Here is an 18,397-nt window from a genome sequence, read left to right on the forward strand (position 1 = left end):
GTTTTGTCTATCAGCTGCACCCCTGGGTAGCGACACAACCTTGGGGAAGGCCTCAACCCCATCCCTCGTACAGCAGGAATGAGAACAGCACTGCCTGTTGGGAAGCTTGAGGGAGGCTATGGACGTGCAGTGCTTGGCAGAGGGTCTTGTCATGGAAGGTTCCAGCAAATGTGAGATACTTTTATGAGTTCATTTTCTCCAAAAGAAAGGGAATAAAAGAAGAGGGGAGGAAATAAGACTAATTGTGAGAGATGAAGTACAAGGGTGAGGGAAGGAGTAAGGAGACATGAAGGCAGCGTGGAGCAGCTGAGGCGGGAGATTGCTTTCACCACTTCCCAGCATCTATTGCAGATTCCACCCTCAATCATTTTGTAAGGACCCTTTATTCAAGGTTATGTTTGAACCCTGCTGAGCCAGTGGCGTGGGTGTCTGAGAGAATCATTAACTTAATTTGACTATCTGGTTTGTGGATGCGTTTACTCTCATGTAAGTCAACAACATCCTGGGACTGGGACACACTTTCTGGGCACTGCTGGCCAGTCCCAAAATGGAACATAAGGAAGTGGTTCTTCTACTTCTTTTATTTCTGAAATCAGGTAAGACATAGTTTTTTTAAATTATAATAATTATTTTTTCTCCCACAATGCAGTACAAATACATATGCCATGGCTTTATGTGCAATTCATTTAATTTTTGATTCATGAAACTCCCAGTTGAAAATCTTGTATAAGATTGAGGAATTCTTCAAGAAATAAGTTTAGTTTTCCTGTGAAGATTGTCAGGGTGCTGGAATGAATACACAGAGAAAATAATGGGTGACTTTTCAAATCTAAATGAGTGCACCCACATAATGGCCAGTCTAATTGAAAAAGAGCCAATGTAGCTAACTATGCAAAGGACGGCTAAGCTCTTCGCCTGGTTCTCAGTTTGACTAATTTATATAATCTCTGTTAACGGTGTCATGCTCCCCTCACTTGCAAGTTAAAACAATGAAATTTCTCTTTGAATATATTCTGTTCTCTCACCAGTTCATGGTGGCGGCAGGGTCAGGGACTCAGCATTTCTCCCTTTGTTATGGCCTGAGGAAGGCTTTCCATCAGTATACGTTTGCCTCTAATCCCCAGAAAAATCACACGCATCCATTTGCCAGATGCTGTGTGCAGATAGTGATTCAACAAATACTCAGTGCTTGGGTTAGGTCACTACAGTTTTACACATACATACATACCTGTGTGTGAATGTGAGTGTGAGTGTGTGTCCTTTACAAATACTAGCTTATTTAGCTCGCGGTATAGGTAGGGTAGCATATTCATCCTCATTTTATAAACAAAGAAATCTAGACTTAGGAAAATCATGTTATTTGCTCAGTGACCAAATTCTCATATCTGGGAAATAAAGAAAACTGGATTTAAGCCAGGTTTCCCAGAAGGAATCTAGGGCTCTTCTCACTTCTCAGCTTTGTTTAAGCCTTTGAAATAATATTCTAAACATGTCCTAGTAGTTCTTTTTCTTTTTTTTTAAAAAAAAAAGCTTTATTGAGATATAATTAATGTATAGAATTCACCCATTTAGGCATACAATCCAATGGATTTCAATACGTTGAGAGTTGTGCAGCCACCATCAGAATAAACTTTAAAACTATTCATACCCCCCAAAACGCACTCCACTCTCCTTAGCTGTTACCCCTGATCTGCAGCTTCTGGCAACCACTAATCTACTTTCTGTATTTATATCTTTGCCATTTTGAACATTTCATACAAACAGAATCATACGATTTGCTAGTAGTTCTTCATGTAAATAATGTATACTTGAAATTCAATCTATAAATTACCAGATAAAATTTTACAAGTTGCACTTTAGAGTCAAATACATTTGAATTTAGTGGAAGCCATTCAAGGAGCTATCAAACAAAATACAGAGCAGGAGAAAATTAGAGAAATTTTTGTAAGAAATTGATGTACGTTGGGGGGTATGAATATTATATTTCAATGCATGGAAACTATGACATAGATCACTGTGAACTTATTCAGTGGGCTACACCCAAAGGCTAGAACAAACTTCTCTGCCACAGGATTAACATATGTTTTAACCAACCTGGGGGGAACATTCTCTCATAAGCTCTTTCGGAAAGCCAGGCTTTCTGTGGATGTATCATCTTTCCAGTGTGCTGCAATGCCCGGGGAGAGGAAAAAGTTTCTTTTACAGCCATGCTTAGTGGGAAGTGGAGAAACATCTTCCATTTCACAAATTAAGTCTTTTACGCATGCAAATATGCATACACATTCACACACCACAGTGAGGAAGAAATTCTCACACCATTAGTAAAATACATTTGCATCAGTAGCAATATACATCTGCATTTTGCCTATAATATAAATGTATTTTTCCACTAAAAGATTTGTTTGATGTTTCCTTGCCAGCAAATAAGCCCTGTCAAATCCTATTGCCATATGAGTCCTAGAGGTGAATAAGAGAAAAAAAAATGGGGGAAAATTATTTCAAATTAAAAAGAAAAAAGTTTGATTCTGTTTTGGGATATTTCCTAGGGACAGGAGCTGGGGAGGGGATCTCAGCAGCGATGCGCTATGAAGCATAATAACATGACACAGAGAACTTAATTGAAGGGGGAAATAAATGGAAGTTTTCTTTTTTTGAATATCAATTGTAGCCTGCTCTGCTATACTTCAAAAAAACTCTTCAGAAAGTTTAACTGAACTCACCGTAGGACACACTTTGTGGATTTATTGTGTGTTTTGAAGTCACGCTGTGAGCTATAGAATTAACCAAAACACAACTCCTCTTGGAAATGAGAGTTCAAGTTGGCAGAAAGTGCGGGGTAAAGACATGGATATGGGCCTAAAGCATCTATTTCTTTGTGATCTTTTGATACATCTCTCAAGTGCTTTTTAGTGGATTAGGTTTAGAATGCATCAGCCAACTCCTGCTCAATAATCCATTTTTCCAGCCTGGAATGTCTTAAATTGAGGAAGGACAAAGTCCAAGAGGTGGGGAACAGGGGGACTTTGGCCGAGGACTTTGCATGAATCGATGAGCATGCATCCTCCTCCCTGTCCTGCCCCTTGTGCTCTGTGTACCCTCAGGAGGTCAGGACGGGCCTTTCTGAGAATGAGAATCTGTTCATTTGCCTTCCTACTGGATATTTGTCATCAGCATACAAACCAATGCGCTCTGCAGTGTGTCGTCTTTCAGAACCTCCCCTGACCGCATGTTCCCTGGAGGGCTCGCTGTCTTCAGAGCCAGGCTTGTCTCCTGCTGCCGCCTCCACTGCTCTCCTAGTCACTCTATAACCCACTCCCTCTGCCTGCGGCCCCCACCACGCCCCTCAAAGTGGTCAAGGTTGTCCTGTTGTCTAATTCCATGGAGCTTGGATATCTTCATTTTATTAGCCTCTTTTGGCCTCTTACCCCTGTGAAAGTCACTAGCATTCTGTGCAAAGGATGGCGCTGGCATCTCCAGGCTTGGAATAGACCTGCCAAAGCTCAGCCAGATGTCCGGAAGAGCCTCAGGACAAGGGAACACCCTGTAGCCTTGTGGTGGGAGCACAGCTGAGGCCCCCTTGGCCACCCTCTGCCACGACCAGGCAGAAAGCAGCTTTCGGACAGATTCGTTGTCTCAGATTTGATCTCAAAGAAAAACCAAAACCAGTATTTGTCCCAGGTTCTGCTTTTTTACAATTTCCTCCGAAATCCAGATACCTATCAACACCTTGGAAAAACTGATTTCTCCCCAGTTAGTAGTGTTGTGTGACTGTCATCAGCCCAGTACAAAAATGGCCTTCTTTGTTGGGGAGCTTCTTACCCTCCAGTGTTTTGCCCAATTTTTGTCCAAGGTGGCAGCATAATTTAGTTCAGTTCTTGTTTATTTCCACCATCATCTATGCACCAAAATTTATGTGTCTCAAGGAGGGACCATTCAGAGGATGCTTCCCACCAGTTCAAGTGACAGTGTCAGAACCAAAGCGCATATTGTAGGAAATCAAACAATGGCCTCCAAGTTCCATTTCTACCCAGGGATGAACAAATCAACATCAATCTTGGTAACACAACTGCCACTGATGGTGCCTTACTCTTCTCTCATGACATGGAACAATTGATAGCAAACATAAAATTTGTTCTTGTTTAAGGATTTATATCCACTAATATGGTAACATAGTAGTGGTTCCATAGTTCTAACCTGTTTATCAATCCAGTTAATCTTTTACTATCTTGCAATCTGTTAATGAAACTGTTTTTCTTTGTTTTATAATTTCAACTTTTAGAGTCAGGGGTACATGTGCAGGTTTGTTACATCACTAAATTGCGTGACACTGAGCTTTGGGGTACAAATGATTCCCATCACCCAGGTAGTGAGCTAAATACCTACTAAATAGGTAGTTTTTCAGCCCTTGCCTCGCTCCCTCTCTCCCTTCTCTGGTAGTCCCCAGTGTCTTTAGTTGCCATCTTTATTTATGTCCACATGCCCAACTGTGTGTTCTTAACTAAACATTTTGATTCATAGCTACCCATTCTACTTCCAGTAAACAGCAAGTTTTATTTGGTTAATGGAAACCAAATAGATTAAAAGGAAGTCATGACAATTAGACATCGGCATTGATTTACTGACCATTTATTCCACTTGGATCTCCCACCTCTAGGTCAAGGAGAGCCTCTGGATGACTATGTAAATGCCCAGGGGGCTTCACTGTTCAGTGTCACTAAGAAGCAGCTGGGGGCAGGAAGCAGAGAAGAATGTGCAGCAAAATGTGAGGAGGACAAAGAATTCACCTGCAGGTATTTTCATCGTCGTTGCACCTACCCAGAAATCTGTAATTCAGATGGCAAGTAATTTACTCACAAATTTATTAACGATTTAAGAGGAAAGAGAAATGTATGGAGCCAGAGTTTGGAACTATATTTGCTCATAGTATGTGAAGCCATACTAACAGCTTCTTGTTAAGGTTTATTGGAGTCTTCGTTAGAAAAATACCCTAAAAGGAAGTTATTTGTTTTTACACCGGACATAAACATTAGCAGTTATTATTCTGAGCTCCAGTTTTTAACATCATCATCAGTAAATGTTTGTTGAGGATCATATGAATGAAAGTGTCCTAGATAGATCTGAGCAATGACTTATAGCTACAAGATCCAGTGCCTGCCCTTCAGTATTTAAGGTGACTGGATATAATGTTAAAAAAAAAAAGACAGCCTAAGTGAGGTACAGGCATAATCAATGCATGCTCTACCCAGATCCAGAAGAAAGAACAGTGCCTAAGGTTGAGGCAGCTAGAGAAGGCTCAGGGAGGAGGTGGGAACCGAGCTGGGTTTGGAGTTGAGAGAGCTCTTGAAAAGCACCAGGAAGGCAGGGGAAGATGCGGCCCTGCACTTTCTGAGGGGGACCATTAAGAGATCGAGTTGACTAAAGCAGAGACTTTGTGTAGGTGATGAGCCTGGGAAAGTAGCTATGGATGCCAGACTGAGCACCCATAGCAGGACCACGGGATGGAGATGGGAGGGGTCAGGGGCCAGGGCAGGGTGGAATGTGGAGCAGAGGTTCAGGGGAACTGATCAGAGTTGGGAGGTCATGGAGATGGACTATCTTGGGGAATGGGTTCAAAGCAACCAGAGTTGCTTCTTTCTGACCCAAAAACAAAAATTAAGAAGATGAGTGAAGAAGAAGTAAAGCAGTTGAAACAGAAAGAAAGAGAAAATTATGAGGGAGGGAAGGTAAGGGCAGATAAGATTTACTGCCACGTTGGTGTATTTTGTTCAGTACTTCATCAATGCCATGCCCAAATAACTGAAAGAGGCAGCAATTCTGAGCTCTCTGGTCCCCCAAGATATTCAATGATCTTTAGCATTTCTCACTTATTAATAAACATTTGTTTTCTTTAAATAAAGAAAAATACTTATTGGATTTCCTGCTTCGTTCTGCAGGGCATTCCAATATCACAGTAAAGAGCAACAATGTGTGATAATGGCTGAAAACAAGAAGTCCTCCATAATCATTAGGATGAGAGATGTAGTTTTATTTGAAAAGTAAAGTGAGTACATTTTCTTCCTCCTCCTCCTACTGTCCTCCCCATCCTCCCACTCTTCCTCTTTCTCTATTCTATCTTTAATTTATGAGACCAGAGGAGGAAGGCGCTATGGTGTTGTAAAATTGAATTCTGAGTTAGGACAGGATTTGATTACTAACTAACCATGTCAGCTTGAGTATATTACTTCACCTCCTAGATTTAATTTTTTTGTTGTTCAAAAAATGAAAGGATTAGATTTACAAAATCACTTCTACCTCTATGACCCTGAAAATAAGATTTTTAAAATATTATTTTATATTTAACAAGGAGATGGGAAGTCTAAGCATTCCTTTTGGTCTTGGCTTCTTATTCTGCAGGGTGACCATGGTCCTTGGGCCCTAACGTCTGGATGAAGCCTTGTAAAACAGAAATACTGAGGTGTTTTAATCCTCAGAAACATTTAGATTGGGACACAAATCTTATTTTTTACTCTTAAATTTTTCACATTTTGGGGGACATGGTCTATATTTTTCTCAGATTTCTGAAATGTTGTCTTTTAAAAATGTGTAAAAGTTACAGTCCCTTTTCTATAGTTTATTTTAAAATGTGGGTCAATAGTCCCACTGCTTAGAATAAGGGGCACACAGGATTTCAATAGAAATTGCATGCCTTTTTAGATGTGCAAATGTTTCATTAAGCGTATGAATATTTGAAGAGATGTATGACACTTTGAAAACTGTTTCCTCTACTGTGTTGGTGGCCAGGTATTAAGACCGTTAATAATAACAATTTAGCTCTCCAAATATTCTGCATCACAGGTGTTAAAGAGGACTGGAAACACCTTAGTTCTTGTATTCTTGAGGATGATTTGCCATATTGTGTCTAGTATCACGGCAAAACTCTAAGTAGCATTTTAAATAGTATTTATTTGGGTTGGAATTATTTATATGCATTGACTCATCTTCCTGGGTTTCATTAGCTGTACGCATTGTACTTTCTTCCTTACCACTATTTATCTCGAATTCTTGAGATTAAAGTACAGATTAAATCTAAACTTTATCTGGTGCAGTTATTAGTTCTTACAAGTAGCAAGCAAATGGTAAACTGAATAGGATCACCTAATTGTACCAGATTTAAAAAAAAAAAAACAAAAACAAAAATCCCTGATTCCCCTGATTCTCTCTACAAAATGCTAACATTTAAATATGTCATTTGTAAATTGTTAACCAGAAGGAACATGGGAATGACTGTAGGTTGAGTTTGAAGTCTGAAGTTTGAAGGCTTAGTTTGCTTGTTTTCAAAGTGACAGAAGGGAGCAAAAGTTTATATAAACTCTGGTGGGTACATACAAACGAAAAAGAAGTGAAAAGTCAAAAGTCAGTCATTTTTTGGTCCTTGTTTCTTTGCTGTGGGATATTGACCTGCTGCTAACTTACCTGCCAGGGTTTTGCCAGGAACAGTCAGTGTTAGATCACATTTACTTCTGCCACTTGCCACCAGCCACACTGCCTTCACCGAGTCCAAGAACCTATCACCACTGGTTAGGGCTACTTGTAGCTGTACACCTGATCTCGAAGAAATGTAACTTCGCTGTTTAAAGCCCTTCCTAGTGCCCTTAAAATAAGACCCAAAGACTTCCCAAATGTGCCAGGGCCCGGCATTATTTACATAACCCCCGGCTGCTGTTTGCTTGGCTTGCTAAACTTTTCTACAAAGTTTCTGGCCTTACTTCTGTTCCTTCACCACCCCAAGCACACGCCCTCCTGCCTGGGACCCTCTTCACCTTTGTCCTGCTGTGCCAGCTCCTTCTTATCACCTAGGTGTCAGCTCAATCATCACCTCCTTTGCAAATCTTCCTTGACCCCTAGACCTCCCTTTCACAAAGTACCTTGAGTTTACACTTTGATGAGTGTCTTATGTCTACTGTAATACTATGTCCCAATGAAGATATACTGGAAATCATAATACGTAGTATTGGGTTAAAAGCATTAGTTTGCTGCAGGTATGTTAGGAGTACTTTCCCCATGTGATTGATCAGTGAATTTAAAAATGGCTAAAGTGGGTAACCTTAAATGATGGTGCAAATATACCTTAAACATTTTATATTTTCATTGAAAACACAAGTGTACTTGACACCTTTTGATGTAGAGCAGAGGCTTTTTTTCTTCGAATATGGGGTCACCAGTAGAAGGTCTCTGGTGCATTTCCTGCATAAACTATGCTCTAGTGCAACATCTACAATAATTACTTTCCTTATTTTTGAAGTGGACCATATCTCGACATTTATTAATCAATCTGCATGTGTAAAACCTTTAGATTTTTATGAATTCCTCCTCAAGCTTTACAGTCAACTATATGAGTGGATTGCCCTCTGTGGATCTGATAGCAATTTTTTAAATGATTCACGTTTCAACTTGTTAAAAACATTTAATTTAGTTAAAAACCAAACAAAAAAGAGCTTTGTTCCTTTTCACATTCATTTCTCAGTTTAGATCATCTTTAATTAAATATAAATGTAAGAAAGTTGGAAAATGCAAAGAAATGACTCGTTGTAAGCACATAACTCACGTGGGGGGAACAGACATGGGTGGGCACACTAGCAAACACCTGCCAGCTGCATGTGGACCCAGGTGGGCACCAGACTGTTTTAAACACAGGAGAGGGCCCATTGTCTAACTGGTGAGTTGGTTGAGTGGAAGCTGGTTGAGAACTTTTACTGCAAACCATTTACAGTAGACCACAATTTTATAGCCCTGTTTGGCACTTTTTCATATCACTGGGAGCCTGAAGAAATAGAAGTGGGTTGGATCTCTTTCAGCCTCGGAAAAGCCTGCCATTCCCCCATCTAAAAACCCTTTCCCCATTCTCTTACTCTGTCTCATCATGTATGTAACATGTATCATCATTAAGTGATCTCATTTTATATTGTTTCCTTGAATATTTCCTGTAACCCCCCTGCCTGATTCCACTAGAATGTGAGCTCTATGACGGCCAAGCCTCTGGCTGCACTGTGCCCCGTGTGTCCCCAGCATCCTGGTGGGGCTCAATACACAGAGAGCTCATAAGTAGCATTTGAATACATGAATCAAAGTATGGAATGGCCCAGTTTACTGCAGCCTTTTTGCAGATGCAAAAGATGATCTTTTAGAAAGCAGAAACAGGGGGTCTGGTGCATGAGATCTTTTTCTCAACGTGACTATGCTGTGCAGACCTTCACGTGGTGTCTTGTGAAAGACTTTGACCGCTGTGTGGACTTTCCTTCAGTGTATCTTTCAGAGTGCAAGACTGGGAATGGAAAGAACTACAGAGGGACGATGTCCAAAACAAAAAATGGCATCACCTGTCAAAAATGGAGTTCCACTTCTCCCCGCAGACCTAGGTAAGACTTTCCCTTTCATCTTTGTGTTCATCTACTGTAAAGTTGTCCCTCTGTGTCTGTGAGGGATTGGTTCCAGGACCCCTGTGGCTACCAAAATCCATGCTTCTCAAGTCCCTTATGTAAAATGGTGCAGTATTTGCATATAACCTACATACCTTCTCTTGTGCAATCCCTAATATAATGTAAATGCTATGTAATCGTTGTTATGCTGTATTGTTTTTATTTGTATTATGTTTTATTGTCATATTGTTATTTTCTCTCATCTTTTTCAAGTCTTTTCCATCCACAGTTGGTTGAATTTGTGGATGTGGAACCCATGGATACAGAGGGCCAACTGTATTTAGGATAATTTCATCACTTTTAATTCAAACCAGAATATGTGAATAAGCAGACAGAAAGAATCTTTTTGATGTCGATGTTCAACTATTTTTGGCACCATAGTAGAACATCGTTGCTTTCTATTTTTTCTTGGGTATGGAGGTTTCTTGAAGACCTAGAACATAGAAGAATGCCTAGTTAAAAAAAAAAATCAATGAAACTACGAGTTTTAGGCCAAATCTGAGAAAAGACCAAAGATGACTATGTTTGGGACTGAAGTAAACATATCAAGTTAGAACTCTCATCACATGTTTGACTCAAATTGTGGAGCAAAATAGTAAATAAAATATAAAAATGACAATGAAGATACGTGAAATTCAAATGTCGCAACTTGCCTATTATTTATTTTAGTGCATTTTTTTGTGCTTTTCCCAGTTTGGTGTTAGGTGGCATTAAGTTCTCAGTAATGACACTTATCAAATAGGAACTTAGTGCCTGTTACTCACCTTTATCCATTCCCCCAACACTCAACAAATTGCCTTTGCTATATCCCTATGAGATGAGCAGATCAAATATTCCCCGTGAGTTAATGAAAACTGATTCAACCAAATGGCGAAGTCAGAGACTATCGGGGGCCATGGAGACACTCTGGGCCATTTTTATGAGGTAGTCTAGGCTCATCTTCATGAGGGAACTGAGGTCTTGGGGGGTGGGGGTTACCCCAAATAGGTTCACAGAAGAACCAGAAATAAAACCTGCCTTTCTAGACTGTAAGTCTTGTGATTGTCATCTAAATGGTTGTCTCTATACAGCAACTCATCTCTAGAACTGAAAATAAGTTTAAATCCCTCCTCCATCCCCAATAATTCAAGCTGCATTTCAGAGAAAACCAGGACTTTGGAATCAGACAGATCAACTTTGAATTCTTGATCTGCTTCTTCATAGCTATTTACGCTTAGGCAAGTTTTGTTTTGTTTTGTTTTACGTTGCCATTCAGTCTTCTCATCTGTAAAATAGGGATAATAACACCTTCCTCAAATGGTTTTTTTTATTAGGACTAAAAGAGAGAATGTGTGGAAAGATGTTAGTGGAATTCCTGGCACATAGTTCACATGGACAAAATGGTGTTAACTATGAAAATTTTTACAGAGAAAAGGGCAACTGACAAAAGCAGGTGTTTGGAATGAATTAAGACCATGGCAGGCTTTTGAGGCCTTTCTATTTCTCCTGACTGTGCAATAAAAATATTTTGGCTCTCTGTCTAAGACTTGGCTGTCACAGTAGCAATGGTAATATTAGCTACTGTGCCAGAAGCAGCCTATCAATAGAGAAATTGAAAATCTGACCACACAAATGCTGCAGCACCCAGCTGAAATGCATTTGGATGACGATCTCAGATGGGAATCGAGAGCATCTCCTTCTGCCTTGCTAATAGCAAGCTGATTTTTAGAATATAGTCTAAGTGCTTCTCTTCCATCCTCCCCAGATTCTCACCTGCTACACACCCCTCAGAGGGACTGGAGGAATCCAGACAACGATGCGCAGGGGCCCTGGTGTTATACTACTGATCCAGAACAGAGATATGACTACTGCGACATTCCTGAGTGTGAAGGGCAGGAGTGGCTCTAGAAAATGTTTTCATTTCTGCTCTTCACCTGTAAAATAATTTGTTGTAAAGCCCCTTCCCACAGGGATATTATTAATAATTGCGTAACGTGTTCACCTCTCGGAAAGGAGCAAAACTTTGCTCAGATCCCAGAATTAACCTGATTTTTTTTTTTTTTTCTGAGACAGAATTTTGCTCTCATTGCCCAGGCTAGAGTGCAATGGTGCGATCTCGGCTCACCACAACCTCCGCCTCCGGGTTCAAGCGATTCTCCTACCTCAGCCTCCCAAGTAGCTGGAATTACATGCATGTGCCACCATGCCTGGCTAATTTTACATTTTTAGTAGAGACAGGGTTTCTCCATGTTGGTCAGGCTGGTCTTGAACTCTCGACCTCAGGTGAGCCGCCCGCCTCAGCCTCCCAAAGTGCTGGGATTACAGGCGTGAGCCACCATGCCCAGCAGACCTGAATTATTATTATTATTAAAATGTTACATCAACATGTACAAATATAAAACTACATCTAAACTCTAAGTACAAACTTCTTATGCTTAAAACTCTTACACAGTGTTAACCCCAAGACAGATTTGCAATTAAGTAGTTAAAATAAAACAACAAAGTCAATAAAAATCAAATAAACAATATACATTTAATGTGGTAGACTTTGCTGTTTTGCTGAAGCTAAGCAAGGAACCAGTTTTTAAATCAGCAATCCGTTATTTTAATGGACTGAGCAATTTAATAGTGCACCTCAAAGGTCAATGCTAAAAACTAAAAAAAAAATTCCTACTGAAAAAACTGTCATCATTTCACATTTCTGGCTACGTTAGTGCAAAAGGGAATAAATAAAGGTGAGATTTCTGTGACAGTGTGGATATGGTACTGTGTGACAACTCAGTTCTCCCATCACTTCCACCTGTTTGAATCATCGGGCTCCTTTATTTGTACACCATGTTATCGGTATTTGCCCTTAAGCACCACCAATGCATCACTTTTATATTAAGTCTGCCCATTTTCCTTAGTACTCCGTAAAATTTAAGTCACATATTACTCTGCCTCACCATGTTACTTCAATAATTCTGAATCAAAGTTTAAGTTTGTGAATAATTTTGCAAAAAAAGAGCCAATCATGCTTCTCAACAACATAAAAAGAGAAGCACCGTCACTTCAGGTGAATATTGTTCTCCGTGAGGCCATGAGCATAAACAAAAACTCCAGACTAAAACCCTGAGACGGTGCCAGGTCATTCAGCAGTCAGCAGAATGATCAGTATAATTTCAAACAAAGTTTTAAAGATCATTATTGAAATGATGTATTTTGAGCTTCCTGGATCTGTTCCTTTATGTCTACCTTAGTTCATTTGGGCTGCTGTGACAAAAATATCATAAACTGGAGAGTTTATAAACAACAGAAATTTATTTCTCACCGTTCTAGGGGCTGTGATGTCCAAGACCAAGGCACTAGCAGTGTCTGGTGAGGCCCTACTTCCTCATAGATGACACATTCTGGCTTTGTCCTCACATGGTGTCAGGGGCTAGCTAATTCCCTGGGGCTTCTTTCATAAGTGCACTAATCTCTGTCCTGAGGGTAGAGCCCTCGTAACCTGATTGACTCCCAAAAGCCCCACCTCAGTACTATCACATTGAGGATTAAGTTTCAATATAACTTTTGAGGAGACACAAACATTCAGACCATAGCTTTATCTATCATGAATTTGGGGAAATTTTCAGTCACTGTTGCTTCAAATGTTTCTTCTGTTTCTTTCTCTTTTTTTTTTTTTTTTTTTTTGAGACAGAGTCTTGCTCTGTTGCCCAGGCTGGAGTGCAGTGGCACGATCTCAGCTCACTGCAAGCTCCTCCTCCCAGGTTCATGCCATTCTCCTGCCTCAGTCTCCCAAGTAGCTGGGACTACAGGCGCCTGCCACCATGCCCTGCTAATTTTTTGTATTTTTAGTAGAGACAGGGTTTCACCGTGTTAGCCAGGATGGTCTCGATCTCCTGACCTTGCGATCTGCCCGCCTCGGCCTCCCAAATTGCTGGGATTATAGGTGTAAGCCACCACGCCTGGCTTTCTTTCTCTTTTTCTTCTCTTTCTGGTATTTCCAAAAAGTCTCCATGTTCCACCTTTTGTAATTGTCTCACAGTTCTTGACTCTTGTTCTGTTTTTTCTTTTTCATTCTTTTTTCTCATTGTGTGTCAGCTTTTGAAGTATCTATTGACATCTCTTTGAGCTCACTGATTCTTTCATTGGCCATATCCATTCTTTTGATGAACCCATCAAAGGCATTCTTCATTTCTGTTATGGTGTTTTTTATTTCTAGTATTTCATTTTTATTTCTTCTTAGTGTTTTTATCTCTTTGCTTACATTACCCATCTGTTCTTGCATGTTATGCCATTTTTACATTAGAGCCCCTAGCATGTTAATCTTAGTTATTTTAAATTCCTGGTTGGATACTTCCAATATTTCTTTCATATCTGAGTCTGGTTCTGATGCTTGCTTTGTCTCTTCAAAGTGTGGGGTTTCTTGTCTTTTAGTATGCTTTGTAATTTTTTGTTTGAGGCTGTATATGATGTACTGGGTGAAAGGAACTGAGTTAAATAAGGCTTCAGTATGAGATTTTGTGTTTCTCTGGCTAGGAGTTAGGCTTTGTTTACTCTTTGCTATATAGTCATGGATGTCAGAGGCTAAAATTTCCTCTAGTGTCCTTGTGTTGTCTCCCCTGTCTTCTCTGGGGAGCTCCCTAGAGGCTTCTTTGTAAAGTAGCTCTGAGTCTTGCAGTGTCTATCCCTAATCATGGGAAAACATCAAACAAACCCATACAGCGGGACATCTGACAAAGTACCAAGTGTCAAGGATCATGGATTGAATCCTGAAACAGAGGAAGGACACTGAAGGAAAGACTGGGAAAACCTGACTGAGGTCTGGAGTTTAGTTAGTGATACTATACCAAGACGAATTTCTTAGTTTTGATAATTTGTTAACAGTTATGTTAACATTGGGGGTAGCTGTGCAAGGGGTGTGAGAATGCTGTTATATCTTTAACCTTGGCCCATGGTTAAGGTGTTTCCAGTGTAAGGTCACTGTTATTCCTTGTAGTTAACATATATTTGGCACCACAGGATTCATTCTGGAATTCTCTTTGGCTTATTTATAACTTTTTTTCTTTTTCTAGTAGTGAGAAACCTGGCTTTCATGCAGAGTTTACAAACGCCAATTTAAACTTTTGTTTTGTCATATGCAATGATTTTATTACCTGTCTTTATTTCAGAGCTTATGAATTTTTAATTATTCTAAGGGCTAACATAGAACTTTTTCATGTTTTCTACTCTTCAAGAGTAGGTAAGACTTTAGTTTGTAATACATTACAAAAGGAATCCTGTGGTTCTCTAAGAGCTAATTTGTCTTGGCAAAAGGCCTTAGTGAGCTGTGAGTGGTGGCTCATGCCTGTAATCCCAGCACTTTGATCTGAGACGGCTGGATCACCTGAGGCCAGAAGTTTGAGACCAGTTTTGCCAGCATGGCGAAACCCCATCTCTGCTAAAAATACAAAAAATTAGCCAGGCATAATGCCATGCACCTGTAGTCCCAGCTACTTGGGAGGCTGAGGCAGGAGAATCGCTTGAACCTCGGAAGTGGAGGTTGCAGTGAGCCGAGATCGTGCCACTGCACTCCAGCCTGGGAAATAGTGAGACTGTCTCAAAACAAACAAAAAAACCAAAAAACAAAAAAATTAGACGGGCGTGGTGGCATGCACCTACAGTCCCAGCTACTCAGGATGCTGAGGCAGGAGAATCGCTTGAACCCAGGAGTTGGAGGTTGCACTGAGCAGAGATCATGCCGCTGCACTCTAGCCTGGGTGACACAGTGAGTATCCATCTCAAAACAACAACAACAACAACAAAAACAAATTAAAAAACCCAACAACAACAAAACCAGCAAACAAGAAAACTAAACAGGCTTTAAGGAAAGAGCAATCTAATTATCTGATTATATGACTGGCACTAAGATGGGAATGACTCTGGCCTAATTTCTTCAATTTACATTTTAAAATAGGAGCTTAGTTAGCCCCCAAATAATATGTAATTGATGTATTAGCGTTGGGGAGTGAATATTTTTCAAAGCAGAAGATATTTCTCAATTCTTGCTTACTTTTAGAGGTTGAAGTTCAAGGAAGCCCCTTCCTTGGCACTGTATCCCAGGGAGGTATTTGGAGTTAATTTCAGGGCTTAGCAGTGACTCTTTAGAAAAGCAGTATACGATTGAAATGTAATGTGGTACAAATGAGATCACTACAAGTAATTTAAAAATGTGCTAGTAGTGTTTTTTTTTCTGAGACGGAGTCTTGCTCTGAAGCCCAGACTGGAGTGCAGTGGCACGATCTCAGCTCACTGCAAGCTCCGCCTCCCGGGTTCACGCCATTCTCCTGCCTCAGCCTCCCTAGTAGCTGGGACTACAGGCGCCTGCCAACACGCCTGGCTAATTTTTTGTGTTTTTAGTAGAGACGGGGTTTCACCGTGTTAGCCAGGAAGGTCTCGGTCTCCTGACCTCGTGATCCTCCCACCTCAGCCTCCCAAAGTGCTGGGATTACAGGAGTGAGCCACCACACCCAGCCTCTAGTAGTACTTTTATCAAAAGTAAATGGAAACATGAAATTAATTTTCACAATACATTTTATTTAAACTAATATGTTCACAATGTTAAAATTTCAACATGTAATCACTATAAAAACTACTAGTGAGATATTTCACATTACTTTTTTCATGTAAGCCTTTGAAATCTGGTGGGTATTTTATATTTACTGTACATCCTGATTTGGAATAACCACATTTCAATATTTCAATAGCCACATGTGGCTAGTGGCTACTGTGTTAGAGCAGTTCTAGAACAAAGGAGTCCCTTTAAAACTATTTTGAAGTCATCGTCTATAAGGCAATATGAAAGCTGATCTGAATGATTTCTCCTTTTCCAGGAAAGGAAACAAAAATGAAATCACGTTAGGGCTGCATATTTTATGGATCCCAGGAAAAATACACATAGTCTGAAAGAATGATCTCAGTCAGAAACTCAGAATGAATCATATGAATTAAACATTGGACAATGTCCAATGCTCAGCATGTGTTTTTGGTTTATACTAAGAGCATATTATGCCACCAAATACAGATATTTACTATTATACTTCGTGTAGGAGGTATATTGAGACATTGTTCTAGACTACCACAGTTCCATATTTTGTGAAAAGTTATATTGCACTTTTTTTTTTTTTTGAGAGTGTGCCCAGGCTGGAGTGCAATGGCATGATCTCAGCTCACTCCAGCCTCCACACCCCAGGTTCAAGGGATTCTCCTGCCTCAGCCTCCCTAGTAGCTGGGATTACAGGTGGGCACCACCATGTCTGGCTAATTGTTGTATTTTTAGTAGAGATGGGGTTTCGTCATGTTGGCCAGGCTGGTCTCGAACTCCTGATCTCAGGTGCTCCACCCGCCTCAGCCTCCCAAAGTGTTAGGATTACAGGCGTGATCCACCACGCCCAGCCTTATATTTCACTCTTTGGGAATTGCATCTTACTGTAATCTTAAACTACACTAAAATAAATAATGTAAACCTTTTGTCAAATTGCTCAGAGTAGGTTTCTACTTTGGTTATAAGGAATAAAATTCATGCTTTTGTCTACACACTAGACATCTAAAGCAACCAACCATAGTTAACAAGCAGTGCTCTTACCAAAAGGTAACTCTTTCTAGAATCTGGCACACCATTTAATATCAGTATGAGCATATGGTGGGTTTAATAATTGTTTTCCATGTTTATAAGTTTTCTTTAGTTTTATAAGCAGTTAAAATGAATCCCTTTCACTGAAATACAATCTGTGGTGGGACTTCTAGCTTTTCTCGATCTTACGCTGCTAGATTTATGTCACTGCCATAGCTATGCAATGGGTGATATTTACACTATGCTCAAACAAAGCAACCAGAAAAACACATCACTGAATAATACAGATATTCTGAAGTCAAGCAAGCCAACTTTCATTAACAGATCAATTTCCTTAGAAAAGTTGATGAAACTAAAGACTGAAGTTCAAACAAAAAGCCCTCTCAAGGGGTTATGAATTTCTGGTAACTTATGGGGTAAGAAAAAGAGCAAGAAACTTGAAAGTAGGGAAGAGAAAAAAGAAAAGGAGCAAGAGGGAGTAGCCAGCTCTCAAAAGAGTCTCCAATAGGAAAGCAAAATCTGTATCTAGCCAATACCAACAAGTGAAGAAAGAGTGAGCATAGCAAAATTGAGAAAGGTTGCTTGAAAACCAAACAAAAAACCAAATACCTGTAATCCTAGCACTTTGGGAGGGTGAGGTGGGTGGATTGCCTGCACTCAGGAGTTCAAGACCAGCTGGGCAACATGGTGAAAACTTGTCTCTACTAAAATCCAAAAAAAAAAAAAAAAAATTAGCCAGGCATGGGCTGGGCGCAGTGGCTCACGCCTGTAATCTCAGCACTTTGGGAGGCCAAGGTGGGCAGATCACGAGGTCAGGAGATCGAGACCATCCTGGCTAACACAGTGAAACTCCATCTCTACTAAACATACAAAAAATTAGCCGGGCGTGGTGACGCGTGCCTGTAGTCCCAGCTACTCGGGAGGCTGAGGCAGGGGAATCACTTGAACCCAGGAGGTGGAGGTTGCAGTGAGCTGAGACCATGCCACTGTACTCCAGCCTGGCAACAGAGCGACACTCGTCTCAAAAAAAAAAAAAAAAAAAAAAAGTCTCTTTTGGCCAGGTGTGGTGGCTCACACCTGAAATCTCAGCACTTTGGGAAGCCGAGGTGGGTGGATCACTTGAGTCCAGGAGTTCAAGATCAGCCTAGGTAACATGGCAAAACCTCGTCTCTACCAAAAACGAACAAACAAAAATCAGCCGGATGTGGTGGTACACACCTGTAGTCCCAGCTACTTGGGAGGCTGAGGCAGGAGAATCACCTGAGACCGGGAGGCAGAGATTGCAGAGAACTGAGACTATGCCAAGGCACTCCAGCCTGGGCGACAGAGCAAGACTCTCTCTCTCTCAAAAAAGAAAAAACAAAAAGCC

At 40.4% G+C, this 18,397-nt stretch overlaps 1 pseudogene across 1 annotated transcript; it reads left to right on the top strand.

The window, feature by feature from the left end:
- Positions 1 to 488: 488 nt before the first annotated feature.
- On the top strand, positions 489 to 9,770 carry PLGLA (plasminogen like A (pseudogene); annotated as a pseudogene). Its single transcript, NR_003506.3, has 4 exons — positions 489 to 596; positions 4,655 to 4,790; positions 5,934 to 6,040; positions 9,281 to 9,770. The product of NR_003506.3 is annotated as a plasminogen like A (pseudogene) (transcript).
- Positions 9,771 to 18,397: the final 8,627 nt, after the last annotated feature.

This window comes from Homo sapiens, chromosome 2, assembly GCF_000001405.40.
Source record: "Homo sapiens chromosome 2, GRCh38.p14 Primary Assembly".
Lineage (NCBI taxonomy): Eukaryota > Metazoa > Chordata > Mammalia > Primates > Hominidae > Homo > Homo sapiens.